The 16,733-nt window shown below is 38.2% G+C and overlaps 1 protein-coding gene across 2 annotated transcripts in view; it reads right to left on the minus strand.

The window, feature by feature from the left end:
* KAT6A (lysine acetyltransferase 6A) overlaps window positions 1-16,733 on the minus strand; it is a 122,509-nt gene that overhangs the window by 39,182 nt on the left and 66,594 nt on the right. For both annotated transcript variants that reach the window (NM_006766.5, NM_001305878.2), the window contains exons 4-8: window positions 13,179-13,294; window positions 12,186-12,267; window positions 9,982-10,117; window positions 8,348-8,667; window positions 6,044-6,162 (exon numbers count right to left, since the gene is read on the minus strand). In NM_006766.5, coding sequence (NP_006757.2) covers window positions 6,044-6,162; window positions 8,348-8,667; window positions 9,982-10,117; window positions 12,186-12,267; window positions 13,179-13,294 — 773 coding nt within the window. The remainder of the gene's footprint in view (window positions 1-6,043; window positions 6,163-8,347; window positions 8,668-9,981; window positions 10,118-12,185; window positions 12,268-13,178; window positions 13,295-16,733) is intronic.

Genomic DNA, 16,733 nt, shown 5'->3' on the forward strand with positions numbered 1-16,733 from the left:
AAGACACATGCACACAAATGCTTCTTTCTACTGACAGAGTCTTTTAAGAAAAATAGTTTCTCCAAGCTCGTAAGATCATAGTTGAAATAAAATTCTAGAACAAAAACCTATACTACTAATTTTTTTATGCTTCCACTTTTGTATTCAGAGGTGGCTCTTTTTCATGGAAGTGTATGTTGTATAGCTAATGATGGAACACAGTACTAGGCAAACTACATCCATACTTACCCTACTGCCTGCAATAATTTTTTAAAAAAATTAAAACCAATAAGTGGCTGACTCCTTTTGAAAAAAATCTTGCTAAATATTTCAATTATCTTTGACTTAGATAATGTTCCATGCAAAGTTTGATTATTCAAGATAGTCCCTTCCAGACTATAAGCTCTAAGAGAACAGAAACTATGTCCTTCTGATAGCCCCTCCCCGTACCATAGTTTCTAGAACATAGCAGGCACTCAATAAACAATGTGTTATTAGTTGGATGGATTCTAATATTAATTCCTTTATCATGTCTTTTGCTGATGCTGCTGTAAGACTACCAAAGACACTGTAATAAAATCTACCTGCAAAATTTTTGAAACACAGGTTCAAGCATCATCTAAGCTATATCTATGCTCTCAAAAATGACTTTCTGCACTATATTTATGAATCCTTTCATTATTCAAAATGTCCTCTTATCTAGTCAACATGAACTTTCCCAAGTGGCTTCAAACCACTTTCTTTATTAAATTAAGTCAGAGAACCTGGAAGTCATCTTTGATCATCTCTTGCTTCCTCAAGCTACACATAAAACTCATCACTAAGTTCTGCTGATTCCAACTCCAAAATATATCTAAATCCATCCACTTCTCTCCCATTTCTACCACCACCCCTCTAGTCCTAGCTAACATCTTCTCTCATCCTGATCACCGGAAAAGCCTGCAAAGTGGTTTCCCAGCTTCCACTCTTGCTTAATTCTAAACCACTCTTTATGTAGTAGCCAAGAAAAACCATTTTTTAATGAAACAGATCTTGCTGTTTCCTTGCTAAAAACCATTCAATGTCTTCCCACTGCAATTATGATAAAAACCCCAATTCTAACTTCTGGCCTCAGTCTATTTCCCCAGCTTCACCTTATGCAACTCTTCTGTTCACTGTATTTGAGTTACACTGAACTTCAGTTCCTTAAGTTTATCAACCTCTTTCACACCCTTAGACGTTTACATAGGCAATCCACTTGTCTCTGAAATGTTCTTCTCTAGCTCTTTACTCTGCTGACTTTTGAATACTCTTTTGGAACTATGTATAAATTGTTACTTCTTCAAAAGTCTTCCCTTCTCATAAACACTCCAACCCCAACCCTCAGCAAGGTAGCCCAGCCCGTCAGAACCCCTCACTGCATTCTCATTTCCTTCCGACTATCAGTTTGTAAGTACAGTTTTATTTTTATGAGTGTTTATTATCTGTCTGTTTGTGAAACTAAAAGCTTCATGAAGGCAGAGTCTGTGTCTTTTTGTTTGCCCTATAGTTCTGGTACCAAGGCAGGTGCATGATGCTAAATGAATAAGCCTCATGGAGAAATAGCACCATCATCAGAATTTCAGTGCACTGCCAACAAAAATAAGCATGAACTAGACTTCCAAGATCTAGCTGTTTATTTCCTTGGTGCCAATACACACACAGACAATGCTGAGTTTAATCAAATGCTGGAAAGAAACATAGGATTAGCCCGATTACTGTCAATAAGCATTTACACTGTCTCCCCGAGCCTCAGCAGGGCTCAGCAACCCGTTTAACTCTCTTTGGTCATCCTTCTTGCACCTTTCTATTATTTCAACTCCTGCCCCATTTCTCCCAGAAGAAAATTTCATTCAATATCCATTCATTAAACAAATATTTACTGAGCCTTTACTATATTCCAAGTACTCAGTAGATAGCAGTGACCAAAAAGAAAGGCCTCGTTCTCACTTTTACACTGTTGGTGGGACTGCAAACTAGTTCAAGAATCATGGAAGACAGTGTGGCGAATCCGCAAGGATCTAGAACTAGAAATACCATTTGACCCAGTCATCCCATTACTGGGTGTATACCCAAAGGATTATAAATCATGCTGCTATAAAGACACATGCACATGTATGTTTATTGCGGCACTATTCACAATAGCAAAGACTTGGAACCAACCCAAATGTCCAGAAATGATAGACTGGATTAAGAAAATGTGGCACATATACACCAGGGAATACTATGCAGCCATAAAAAAGGATGAGTTTATGTTCTTTGTAGGGACATGGATGAAGCTGGAAATCATCATTCTCAGCAAATTATTGTAAGGACAAAAAAACCAAACACCGCATGTTCTCACTCATAGGTGGGAACTGAACAATGAGAACACATGGACACAGGAAGGGGAACATCACACACCGGGGCCTGTTGTGGGGTGGGAGGAGGGGGGAGGGATAGCATTAGGAGATATATCTAATGTAAATGACGAGTTAATGGGTGCAGCACACCAACATGGCACATGTATACATATACGTAACAAACCTGCACGTTGTGCACATGTACCCTAAAACTTAAGGTATAATTTAAAAAAAAAAAAAAAAAGAAAGGCCTCGTTCTCAAGGCACTTACATTCTAGAAATAAAAAATTTAAATTCAAGAGGTGGTAGGTACTATGCAGAAAAAGCAGGCAGGTCAGGGGATAGAGTGACACAATGGGCTGTAAGCTATTTTCGTGTGGATATGAGCAAGACCTAAATGGAATGGGCAGTGAACCTACTAAATCATCGACTCTAGAGGAAGGGCCATCGAGGCAAGGTGCAGCGACTGCAAAGGCCCAAGGCAGGCATGCTTGGTGTGTCTGAGGAAGAGGAGGCGGCTGTGGCTGGAGTAGCCTGAGAGCAAAAAGAGCAGCCAAAGAGGGAGGCAGGCACAAAATCATATACAGCCTTGGAGATGAGAGAACAGACTCTTTTTTTTTTTTTTTAATTCTAAAGAAGACTGTAAGACATGAAAGGTTTTCTAAGCAAGGAAGTGGTATAATCCAACCTACGTTCAAAAATAATTACCCTGGCCGCTGTATGAAGAAAATAGACTAGAGAGTGGGGTGGTGGCAAAAGCAGAAGCAAGTTTAGTCTGGAGGCAATTATAGCAGCCTAAGCCAGAGATGACAGTGGGTTGGCAGTAGCAAATACAGACATATTCTGAAGGCAGAACCATTAGGATTTGCTGATGGACTGAATGTGAAGTATGACAGAGAAAAAAAAAATCAAGATGACATCTCTGTGGGCCTAAGCAAGTACAGGATAGAGCTACCATTTACTCTTGTTCACCACTAAAAGCCAGAATCTATGGCTACAACAGTAAGAGCCTAGAACATCTTGCTGTGGCCAGAAGTAAATAAAAATGATGATGATGTGTTAAAAGGACAGAGGAGCTTCTAGAAAGGAGTTCCCCTCTGCCTAAATTTGGAACAATTTAAGCATCAAAATAAATACTAATAGCAATGGATTATAACCATAAAATAATCTATGAGTTTAAACAAAATGAATAAACAAATAGGAAGAAGAAAAAGCTTCTCCTTACAATAGAATGCCAATTAATAAATGGCAAAGAAATGATAGAATTAGAAAATAATGTTTGGCCACCAACAAAGTAAATGATTCAGGCAAAAATCATCTCTGGATGCTAAATGTGGTAGATAAAAGTTTGATGAAAAACAGGTTATCTGCATTTCTGTCTCAAAGTATGTCCCCCCAAGATACTTAATTATAGGTAGAAAGCAATGTTAGAGAAGAAACATGGATACCACCTAAACCAGGTGGTCACTGTTAGCAGCACTTGTGATGAGAACTTGGATATTACATGCCTTCTGATGTGACACACTGAGGAGGACACAGCACACCTGTGGAATTTTCTAATCATGAAAAATAAAACAAGCTCAAAGTGATGACATTCTATAAATGACCTGTGCACTTCAAAACTGTCAAGGTCATGAAAGATAAAGACTGAGGAACTGTTCCCAATTGGAAGGAGACTAGAGAGACGTGACAACTAAATTAGATAATAGTACTTAATTTGTGTTAAATTCCTGATTTGATGATTGGACCATGGTCATGTATGAGAACATTTCTGTTTTTAGGAAATACACACAAAAAATTAGGAGTAAAGGGATATTAACACATTATGTCTGCAACTTACTCGGGAGGAGAAAAAAAAATTCTTTCAGTCAGGAAGAACATAACTACTGCCTCCTTTCAGTTCCCACTGAAGTCCATGTAGATTTCTACTAGAGTACCTATAATAACTCACTAGCATGAAAGGAAACAAGCTTTGAGGGCAACCTGCCCAAAGGAGAAGTTAGTAAATGACAGATCAAGACTTGAACCCAGATCCACCTGAATCAAAGCCAATATTTTGTTAAATCATAATACAGCAGAATGCTGAGTAAATGCGTGCTGAGTATTTGTACTGCTGTTTTATTTTTCCAAAAGTACTCACATAATGACCGACATCAACAGTCTATTCACCACCACTGGGTCTCTTAATATGAAGAGTTTTCCCTAGAACCCTCGGCATCAGCCTTAGAATTTTTTTTTTTTTTTGAGATGGAGTCTCACTCTGTTGCCCAGGCTGGAGTGGTGTGGCACGATCTCGGCTCACTGCAACCTCCACCTCCCGGATTCAAGTGATTCTTCTGCCTCAGCCTCCCGAGTAGCTGGGACCACAGGCGTGTGCCACCGGCTAATTTTTGTATTTTTAGTAGAGACGGGGTTTCACCATGCTGGCCAGGCTGGTCTCGAATTCCTGACCTCAAGTGATCCACCCGCCTCGGCCTCCCAATGTGCTGGGATTACAGGGGTGAGCCACCGTGCCCAGCCTAGAAATTCTTCTTTTCAAGATAAAAGAGAACTTGGCTTACATGGTACATTTGTTGGTGGCAAAGAAGGAAAAGACAAAAAATAAATGAACATAATCTGGAAGAGCCTTTATGATCTAGCCCCTGCACTTTTCCAACCTCACCTCCTGCCATTCTCCACACCCTATATTCTTTATCCTGAGCCATTTTAATTCCCACAATTAAGCATGTTTTCCCCTATCTTCAAGTCTATTCCACCTTCACTTCTGTTCCTTCTGATTATATAAGAACCAACTCCCTACATATCCCTTTAAGGGATATGTACAACTCCTACATATCCTTTAAGGCCCCTCAATGAATCCTCCTCTGACCTCCCCAGGCAGAAGTAGAAGCTGGCTTCCCTATTCTCCCAAAACATCAAGTATTCTATAATTGAACTTTTCATATTAATGACATTACTTATTCACAAATCTCTCCTATAGTTCAGGGAAAGAATTCAGTCATTCACTGGCATCTCCAGCATGTGGCACATAGACTCTGTCTATATATTTACGATCTTGCCATGTGTCACAAAGAATTGCAATTTTTTTTTTTTTGGAAGACAGGGTCTCACTCTGTCACCCAGGCTGGAGTACAGTGGCATGATCTCAGGTCACTGCAACCTCCATTTCCCCAGCTCAAGCAATTCTCCTGCCTCAGCCTCCTAAATAGCTGTGACTACAGGTGTGCACCAACATACCTGGCTAATTTTTCTATTTTTTTTTTGAGATGGGGTTTTGCCATTTTGCCCCAGCTGGTCTCAAACTCCCAGACTCAAGCAATCCACCCACCTTGGCAAAGTGCTAGGATTACAGGCATGAAATACTTCTTGAATTAATAAATATAGGTGTTTTATCACTCATGAGAAGCTTGTTTTTTGTTTGTTTTTGGTCAAATCCCAAATTCTTCTTCATACAGTAAGACAAAAAATAAACCAAGCTTATTTAATATTGATAGTCAAAGCCATGTGCTTATCTGCAAAACCAAAGCAGTTATCATGGGTTTGAAAGGAATATTATAAACAGCAGAACTACATATACACACAAACCACAACTATTCTGAGATTAGGCAAACTGCTGTTACTGCTTAACCCACAATGTAATTAATCTGCTGTTTCTCAGCCATGAACAAGTTGCTTGATTGTCTAACCTGAATATCCAACTTTACCTGCAGTGCTTGTTCTTGGATATCACGAAATAATTCCATATCTTTCTCAGTCATGATTTCCTGGCTCCCAAAAAGTCGCTCCTCATTTTCTTGTTTGCCATCCCAGCCATCCTGATTGTCTACATATAAAAAAAGAGCTCACATGTTAACTGTCCCCAGATTAATACATGAACTAGAAAAAATTTCAGGTCTTTATTTCAATTTGAAGAACTTAATATATAACGAAGAATATAGCATTAAACTGACTCTTAGAAGAATGCTACTCAATAAATAATATTTATGTATTAAATCTGCCTTATAGTGGAAATCCTGAATTGTCTTAAAGCTTCCTAAAAATATTATATAACTAAATTTAAACTTCATTAAAGATTACATTTTAATACACAGAAAGGCAGACAGAAAAATGATATAAGGAATATAAATTTCATTTTGAAATAGTATAAATTTGACACTTTTAGTATAGGTTTAATGCATCAACGTTCAAAAAAACCTCTTGAGTAGCTACCTTAACTGATGTCAGCAGTACTAACTCCCATCACATTCTGGGTGCCCTTTTAAAGTTAAAGCACAAACTTTAAAACACTGTCCTTTTAAAGCACAAACTCTATTTACCCAGATGATAATCATCTGGGTAAATATGAAAACGTATGATAATTATCTACTAAATGATGGAACTTCCTCAAGTTGGCAAAAAACTAGTGAAGAGAGTATTTGGGACTTATGAAGATCATTATCCTTTGCATTTGAAGATGACACTGCTGTTGGGCTCATTTGCTCTCTTTATAAGTATGGCTGAAAAGACCAATTGGTGACAGTTCTCAAGTCAACTGCACATATGGGCCATCTGTTATTAACTTAACACAAGAAGAAAAAAGTCAAGGACTCACTGTTGACAACATTCTCAAACTGGAAGAAAAAAGTACAATCTAAAGGTACTATGTGACTTTAATGCCCCCTAGTGCATGATGCATGCACCTCTCTAATACAGCATTCGGTACTTAAACTTTATAATTCATAAAGAAAATGACAGAGCCTATTAAAGCAAACGCTCACACCACTGTCAAAAATTCAATATTGGTTCTCCATATACTTGATACACTTGCTCTAACAATTTCTATTTCAAAAGCTTTCTAGTAGATTCTTCTAATAAACCGTCTCCAGTACAAATGGTTAATTCAAAAATGTCTTTCATTAGGATTTGCTCTGAGATTCTTTCCTAGTTTAATCTAAACGGATTGCATATTTTCTTAGATAAACATGCTCAGATCAGGAACTTATCTACAGGTTGATAAAGACATGAAGAGTCTTGAATGCTTAAAGAGTAATTAGTTGATCATCACTATGGTAAAAGACCAATCAATAAAGCATACAAAGGGGACTCTGACAATTACAAGGACTTTCTCTCCTGCACTGGACAATCAACCACGAATGAGAGCAGTGAATACACTCTCCCTCACCAAGGAGACATTCAGGGAGGAAACCAAGGTCAGGGAATTCTCTTGTAGTAGATGAGACACTACACCTCTGGCCCTTGTGGTCCAAAAGAGTTCATTCTCATTCTACTTTCTTCAAGCCCTTTCTACTTCCTTCACAGGGTTAGTATCTCTAAATTCAAGGCTCAGCAATAAGACTATTTTAAGCTTTAATTTATTGGACAGTTAATCAAATTCTTCTCCTCTGACTTGAATGATTTGCCACATTATTAAGTCCTCTCCACAGATGTTTTCTACTTTGAAAATTAGGGAACTTAGCCTGATACATAAGCAGCCTGGAGCTGTGGTTCTGTCTCTCCCTTTTTAAGTGCAATCCATGACTTACAACTATATTTGTCAAGATCTGAAGTAGAAAAGTCAATGACCTCATCACATCTGCAAATATTTTGGTCTTTTTTTTATGCTTAGATCAACAGCATTTCACCCAGTTCTATTCTTTCCAGTTTCCTTCCTGGAATAAGCAGGCATCATAACATTCACCATATGATTTCTTTAGTAATTTGTGAAATGTAAAGTAATCCTCAAGGTTACACCCCAAGTTTCTCTAGGCAGATTCTTTGTGGTTCTACAAAAAAGCAGCTTCCTTTTGCCTAAGAGTTCCTACTGTCCCATTCTGCAACTTTATTTCCATCCTCTAAATTCCTGCCACAGTTATCACCTCAGTATCATCTACATGTTTTTTCAATGTGTTCTTATATTCTATAACCAATTGTTAATAATCAAATATAAATCCATTATAGATAATTAGTGTTATCCCGAATAATACATGTACAGAATACTATTTGTTTCTAAGTCTGTTCTAAACTCTTACCTGTGGGCCAATCTGAAGTGCTTGATTTCCTGTTGCCCCTCTTTCTGATTCGATATTGCTCAGAGTAGTCCACCACTTCCCCCCGAGCTTTCCGCCCATCAGGGGAAGGGGTAAAAAATTTGGTAAGGCCATCAATGAGCCCTTTGGTTTTCTTGTTGAACTTCAAGGAGACATTGCTATCTCTGCAGAAGTCCAAGCCATCTATCCGCTCTAAATATCCTTCTTCTGATGATGATGATGCTGATTGGCTGGAAAGAGTGATTTTTCGTTTCCTACCCCTTCCAGGGCCAGTTCGAACTTTGCTGAAGGGACCTTTTGATCTAAACAATTAAACAGGGGAAAGGGTAAGTATTAAAAAAGATACTTGTAAGGTTCCTTTTTAATACATAACATATAATTAGTAAGTAACCTACAGCTTTATTAAAATCTATATTATTAAGAATATTCTGCAAACTATAAATAGTACTCTGTGAATGAAAATTAATATTATTATTAGAAACATCTATTGCCAGGAAGCCTACTTATAGTGCAAAGAATGACAGGCCAGGAGTCAGAAGACTTGTTCTAGTCATAATTCTCTCTTACTAGCTGTACGACTTGGACAAATCACATTTTTTCTAAACATATGTCAGTGCCTTCATCTGTAAAATGAGAACTGGACTAAGAACAACTAAGATCCTTCCAGGTATAAAGTTCTACTACACTGTGATCTCTGCACCAACTGAAAGTTATACTTTTATCTCTAAAACACAAGGATGGGTTATTCTTCGAAGGCCAGGAATCAAAAGATCATTTTATAGGAAAATCAAAGCTTGATTTAAGATTTTGAATATAGACTACAATATTGGTTCTGTACATTTCAGGCTGCTAATGCCCATTCATTTCAGTTATATCACCTTCAAGATAGTCTTACGTGTAAAAAAAGTAAGTAAAACTTTTGATAATAAAGGGAGGTTGACAAGCCTGAAGACGTTTACATATCATCAAAGGTGAGTTACTACAGACATTTTTAAAAAGACAAAACTAGCTACTGAATCTTGCCCCACCTCCTCCAGACATAGCCCAGCTTTCTAGTCCACAATTTCTGATTTCTGCTAATAGATGAAAACATTCAAATTATTTTACATCCAAAGAACACAAAAATGGGACTTAGCCATCACCTCAATAGGAAGAACCTATCCAGTGATTTGTACACCTAATAGATATTAACAACTGAGACAAGATCAGGAGAGTGACATGTGAAATGTCACAGTAACAACTTTTTCTTTCCTGTTTTTATATAAGAGAAGCAACATAAAGCAATGGTTAAGAGTCAGACTTTGGTGCCAGACTACTCGGATTTTCATCCCAGTTCAACATTTACTATGCCTTAGTTTCTTCCTTTGAAAAATGAAAGTAACAGCAGCAGCTATATTTCACTGGGTTGTTGGCAGAATTAAACAATTCAATGCATATAAAGCACTTAGAATAGTGTCTGGCACTTATTAAGGGCTGAATAAGTGTTAGCCATTATTATTATATAAAAGTGCCAGATATGACAATGGAATTTTTTTCATAGAGAAAACAAGTGAATCCTACACTATAGAGAAGACCCTATCCTTTTCTCCCCTCACCTTGCCACAAGTACAACTTACACCGTGTTTTGTTTCTTTAACCTGTTTTTTGGACGTCCTATTGGATTAGTATAGCGCCGTTTTATCTGTGCTGCCTTCTTTTGTAGAAGTTTTCGTCCTTTTTTCCTAGGTCGACATATTTGACATATCCACATGCCTATAAAAAAATAAAATTCCACATAGAAGTGTGACAGACATAAATACACTGAAAGGTTTCAGATAGTCTTAAGTCAGGATCTTAACTTTTTCAGGTAAAAGACTGTCATTAGAAAATCTGATGAATACCCCCTCCAATCCAAAATAAACATTAAAACATATACACACAAAATTCTACAAATAATTGGAAGAGACTCACATACACCTTCAAGCCTGCACTGGAAGTCCACTGACTGCACTTGAAGTCCACTGAGGCTGAGGCGGGTGGATCACCTGAGGTCAGGAGTTTAAGACCAGCCTGGCCAACATGGTGAAACCCTGTCTCTACTAAAAATACAAAAATTAGCTGGGCATGGTGGTACGTGCCTGTAGTCCCAGCTACTCGGGAGGCTAAGGCAGGAGAATCGTTTGAACCCAGGAGGCGGAGGTTGCAGTGAGCCGAGATTGCACCACTGCATTCCAGCCTGGGCGACAGAGTGAGACTCCGTCTCAAAAAAAAAGTTTCCTGCCTAAAGCTGCTATATAATCTCTTTTGTAGAAGTTAAACACACAAGAAAGGAGTCCTAAGGAAATGTTTCTTGACTGGGCACAGTGGCTCATGCCTGTAATCCCATCACTTTGGGGGGCTGAGGTGGGCGGATTACCTGAGGTCAGGAGTTTGAGACAAGCCTGGCCAACATGGTGAAACTGCATCTCTACAAAAAACATTAGCTGCAAGCCAGGCATGGTGGCTCACGCCTGTAATCCCAACACTTTGGGAGGCCAAGGTGGGCTCCAGCCTGGGCAACAGAGTGAGATTCCAACTCCAAAAAAAAAACCTTTCTTAGGACTCTTAGAAGGCCCCTTGCTCAGACTTCACATAAATGGAAAAAGTGGGTATTTATTCTTTAGTATTTATAAATTGAAGACGTTTCAAAAAGTAACAATCAGTAAGTGAATTCAGGCTGGGCGCGGTGGCTCATGCCTGTAATCCCAGCACTTTGGGAGGCCGAGGCGAACAGATCACTTGAGGCCAGGAGTTCAAGACGAGCCTGGCCAACATGGCAAAACCCCATCTCTACTAAAAATACAAAAATTAGCCAGGTGTCGTGGTACGCCTGTAGTCCCAGCTACATGGGAGGCTGAGGCAGAGAATCGCTTTGAACCTGATAGGTGGAGGCTGCAGTGAGCCAAGATCCTGGGCGACAGAGTGAGACTCCATGGGTGAGGGGGTGGAATAAGTGAATTCAAGTAAAAACCTAAAGTGTTAACATGACTACAAAGTACGGTTAAGTCATTTTCTATCAACAGGAAATTTTTTTCCAAACAAATATTATGAAATATCCTATAGGCATTTTACTTAAGAAGCCTATAAATTATAAAATCAGAGTTAAAATGGAATTTGTGATAGGACAAAAAGAGGGGTCTGGCTGAAGTTTTTTTTAAAGAACCTATAAGCATATGAATATGGAAGTCCAACCATGAGGCAACTATGCCCAAACTAAATACCTCTCAATGAACAGGAATCAAAAGAAAAGAGTAACATTAAGCTGCGCCCTTACAATCTGGACACTTATTTGTTCAGAATGTATTTCATTAAAACAACAACAACAACAACAAAAAACCTTTTTATTTCATAAAGTATTTCATAAAAAGGTTTTTTTTTTAAGTTTTGAATAAACCATATCTCTATAGCTCTAGGGCCCTCAAAAGTGCTAAGCAGTGATATAATCAACACGACCTAATACTATTTTATTTCCTCCTTTCAATAAAGAGATATTTCAAGATATATTTAAGGCAAGTATTTTATCTTCTAGCTAGAGACTGGCAAATATGTATAAATGAACCACTTCACCATTGATGGATGCCTAGATATTGAAAATAACAATAAATCCGTATCATGTAAGAATGTTAAGATGCCCACTCAGAAAGACTATCCCCCCACCTTTTAAGGTGACAGTTCTCTTCCTACTTATACAACCTCAAAAAGAAAGATCCAATTATTATTTCATTTAACAAAGTAGATAAAATGTGCTTTCACTAACATCCTCCTTTATATTCCCAGTTTTATTTCAGAAAGTATTTCTCACCTTTTGGCATACGGGTGAGTGGCGGATCACAACACTCCATGTGAAAACCTCGGTCACATGAATCACAAAAGAGCATGTTATCCTATTAGAAAAAAGAAAGGACAGTTTTGCTTAACCTTATGAAGCAGAAACATGTTACGATCATGACTGCATAAAACCTAGAAAGCTTCAGGGATCTTAAAAAAAGAGATAAGCCAGGCGCAATGGCTCACGCCTGTAATCCCAACACTCTGGGAGGTCGAGGCGGGTGGATCATGAGGTCAGGAGTTCGAGACTAGCCTGACCAACATGGTGAAACCCTGTCCCTACTAAAAATACAAAAATTAGACGGGCATGGTGGCATGTGCCTGTAATCCCAGCTACTCAGAAGGCTGAGGCAGGAGAACTGCTTGAACCAGAGAGGCAGAGGTTGCAGTGAGCCAAGATCGTGCCACTGCACTCCAGCCTGGGCGACAGAGTGAGACTCCTTCTCAAAAAAAATAAATAAATAAAAGAGATGAGTGACCATAATATTAAAAGTTTCCTTAATTTGTATTAACTATGTAAATAGAGTTAGCAAAAAGTTATGTTCCAGCCAATCTTTGATAAAGAACTAAAGTTTCATTAGTTTCAAGTATATCCAATAACCAGAAATAAGCTAACCCTGGTCTGCTTTAATAATGAGAAAAGGGCGACTTGTAATTAATATATCAACTGACCATCCTAAATGAATGCCTCTGTACTGCTCAAAGAAATTTGGGGAGTATTTCTTTAATGTGGCTTAGTCTCTCTGCAAATATATAATTAAGTGCTTTACAAATTACCTAGACATAACTGAAGTCTAAATTAGCAAGCATTCTAAACTAATGACATGTAGTTTAAAGAGACTACCGGCTATTCTAAATGCTACTGGACCAAGTGTCTGAAAAATAACCAGTCATACTTAGATGAAAATGCTGGTCGTACATTCTACTACTAAATGAAACACCCATATTAGAAGGCAGAGATACTCACCGCATTTTTGCCTTGATCTCGACAGGAGCTGCATGTTTTACACTCGATGCACTGCCACCGTAAGGCCTTCACTCGAACCGTTAGTTCAGGGGAAAACTTTAAACAGGATGGATGGCCTAATACGAGGGAGAACATTCATGAATGAAACAATCAAGAACTATTTTGCTATTATAGTACTAAAGAAATGATGTAGAAAAAGGCAATCATCTTAAATACAAAATATATATCAAATAAAGCAAGATGCACCAGGAAGCCTGCCACACATTTCTCATCAGGACTTGGCACCACAATTCAGTTTTATTAATGTTAAAGAGAAGTTAGGACCCCTCCCCACAATTTGATTATTAAAAAAAACTTGACAAACTCCAAACTTTTATTAAGCCTACATCAAAGCATTATGTGTGTACATATCCGGTATATATGTATATATATGAATACATATATGTTCATATATGAGAAATGCTCATATATGCATTACTGAATATACAAAAAAGCTGTTTACACTGATAACATCCTAGAAAACTGAGCTATATATATCAAGAAGGATTTTATGTCTCAGTTTATACCCTTTTGTGCTGTCATTTTTTAAATGACAATGTTTTACTTTTGTAATTTAAAAAATACAGTTAGTCCCCTTATCCGCAGTTTTGCTTTCTGAGGCTTTAGTTACCCACAGTCTACTGCAGTGTGAAAATATTAAACAAGCAACTCCTAAGTTTTAAGCCGCACACTGTTCTGAGTAGCATAATGAGATCTGCTGTCCCAGCTGGGCTGCGATCACCCACACTGCATACACTACCCATTTGTTAGTCACTTAGTGGTTGTCTGGGTTATCAGACTGTTGCTGGTATCACCATGCTAGTGTTATTATCATGCTTGTGTTGGAGTCACCCTTATTTTACTTCATAATGGTCCCAAAGCACAAAACTAGTGATGGTGGCATGTTGTTATAATTGTTCTATTTTGTTATCTATTATTCTTAACCTCTTACTGTGCCTAATTTATAAATTAAACTTTATTATATGTATGTATGCACATGCACAGGGAAAAACATAGCACCATATACAGAGTTCGGTTTTATCCAAGGTTTCAAGCATCCACTGGGGGTCTTGAAACCTCCAAGAATAAGGGGGACTCCTGTATATAATAAAAATACCATCACTTAAAGTGAGTTATCTGCTCACAATTTAAGGCATGCAAGCTAAAACTAAAACCAAAAGCAGTATTTCTACTGTGCTCAGAATGAATAGCAAGAGAAAAAAATGCTTCCTCTTCCAAGAGTCAGTTATCAGTCTGATTCTCAAAAATTAAGGGTAGCCAATTTCCCCTCAACTGAAAAGAGCTGTCCCTCTCCTCTAAAAGTTGGTCGTGCTTATTTTTCTTTGGTGAGAGAAAGGGCTTGTTAAATCTTCTCCTCTCTTTTCTATTCCTAAAGGATTTTCTCTTTTATGAGATAGCAAGTTTATTATCAAAACATCACTAACACTGAAGGAAAATCCAAGAGGTGTGAAAATTTCACCCACAATCCTATCATCCTAGAATAATAGCCATTTTTATGTTAGACTTTCCTGTTTAAACTAGCTGAAAGCTCTGCATGACTGTAATTTTAGCAAACATACAGTTTTTGTTTTATTTTAAATTTTAAGTAAACTTTATATTCCTTAAACTGATCATATTCCACTGACTGATATACTATAACCTGCATGAACATTTCCCTATTGTTAAATACTGAGACTACGGAACACTAAAATGAATTATTTCATGTTTACAGATTCTTTACTTCTTTTAATCCCTTAGAATGAATTCCTGAAAGTGGGATTGGTGAGTCAAATGTATTAAACATTTTTATAGCTTGATATGCACTGCCAAAACATTTTCCAAAAACTATGATATAATATGCAGTGCCACCAGCAAAAGAACAAGTGTTTTAGCACAACTACATGAGCTCTAGGTCTGTTATATTTCAATTGTGATTATTATAAACGCTATACAATGATACTTCACTGCTACTGTGGTATGTGTTCCTATTACTACTTGAGTAAAACACTTTTCATAGGCTCAACTATTAGTTTTCTTTCATATAAATTGCCAGTTCACAGGCTCTGCTCTTTGGACTTCATGCTTAGAAATGTAAACATGTTCTTTATACTTATATAGCTTTTGGCCCTTTGCCATATTTAAAGCAGTTATTTTCCCCCAAATTATTCTTGCTCTACTTTAAGCATGTTACTTTTTAATTTAGAAAATATCAACGTTCATGTATCCAGCTATGCCCATGCTGTTCTTCTTTGGCTATTGTGACAGCCAGTCTCCAGGCTGCTCCCTAGGCATTCTTGCCTCCTGCTAGTCATACTCTTACAACTCCCTCTCATAATGAACTGGGTTGATCTGCATAACCAAGAAGATATTGCTGAAATAACACAGTGTGACTCTAAGGCCAGGTTATAAAACACACTGCAGATTCCACCTCACTCTCTCTCAGACACTCATCGGGGGAGGCCAGCTGCCATGCTGCAGGCATGCATGCAGTCCTGTGAAGATGTCCACATGGCACGGAACTGAAGCTTCTTGTCGACAAGCCCGTGGCAGCAGCAACTTGCCAGCCAGGTAAATGAGCCATCGTGGAAGCCTTCAGATGACTGCAGCACCAGTTAAAATCTTGGCAGCAACCTCATGAAAGATACCAAGTCAAAACCACCCAGATAAGCAACTCCCAAATTCCTGACCTACAGAAACAGTATGAAGTAAAAAATGTTTTGTTGCTTTAAGCTGCTAAGATTTAGAGTAATTTATTTCTGCAGCAACAGATAACTAGTAGTTAATTGTTCTACAATTTCTTTAAAAGTTACCGCTACAGGGGCTGGGCACAGTGGTTCACGCCTGTAATCCCAACACTTTGGGAGGCCAAGGCGGGAGGATCACGAGGTCAGGAGATCGAGACCATCCTGGTGAAGTAGAGATGGTGAAACCCCACCTCTACTAAAAATACCAAAAATTAGCCGGGCGTGGTGGCAGGCACCTGTAATCCCAGCTACTCCGGAGGCTGAGGCAGGAGAATGGCGTGAACCCGGGAGGCAGAGCTTGCAGTGAGCCGAGATCACGCCACTGCACTCCAGCCTGGGCAACAGAGTGAGACTGTCTCAAAAAAAAAAAAAAAAAGTTACCGCTACAGTAATAGTTTTCAAATTATGCTCATCCTTAGCTTAGAGAGACGCACAGACCACCTCAAATATAATGCTACTTAGACGGCAGGGCTGCAGACACAACACTTCCTCTCCTCGGTTTCATTCCCACCCCACCTAGAACAACTCATTCTATGTTTTATATATTTGGGTTTTAATTAGGGAATTTGGAAATAACTGCATTGTATGGCATGCCATTATATTTTCATCTAATCTTTCATGATTTACGGTTTATATTTAACTATGAAATCCATCCAGAGTTCATTCTGGTTTGTGACAACACGCTGGATATGACTACCTAGCACTCAAGATCTGTTCTCACCTTCTACTATGCATAAAAACTGAAAAGCTAAAAAATCATACTTCTTAAGAC

This window comes from Homo sapiens, chromosome 8 (genome assembly GCF_000001405.40).
Source record: "Homo sapiens chromosome 8, GRCh38.p14 Primary Assembly".
In the NCBI taxonomy this organism is placed as follows: Eukaryota; Metazoa; Chordata; class Mammalia; order Primates; family Hominidae; genus Homo; species Homo sapiens.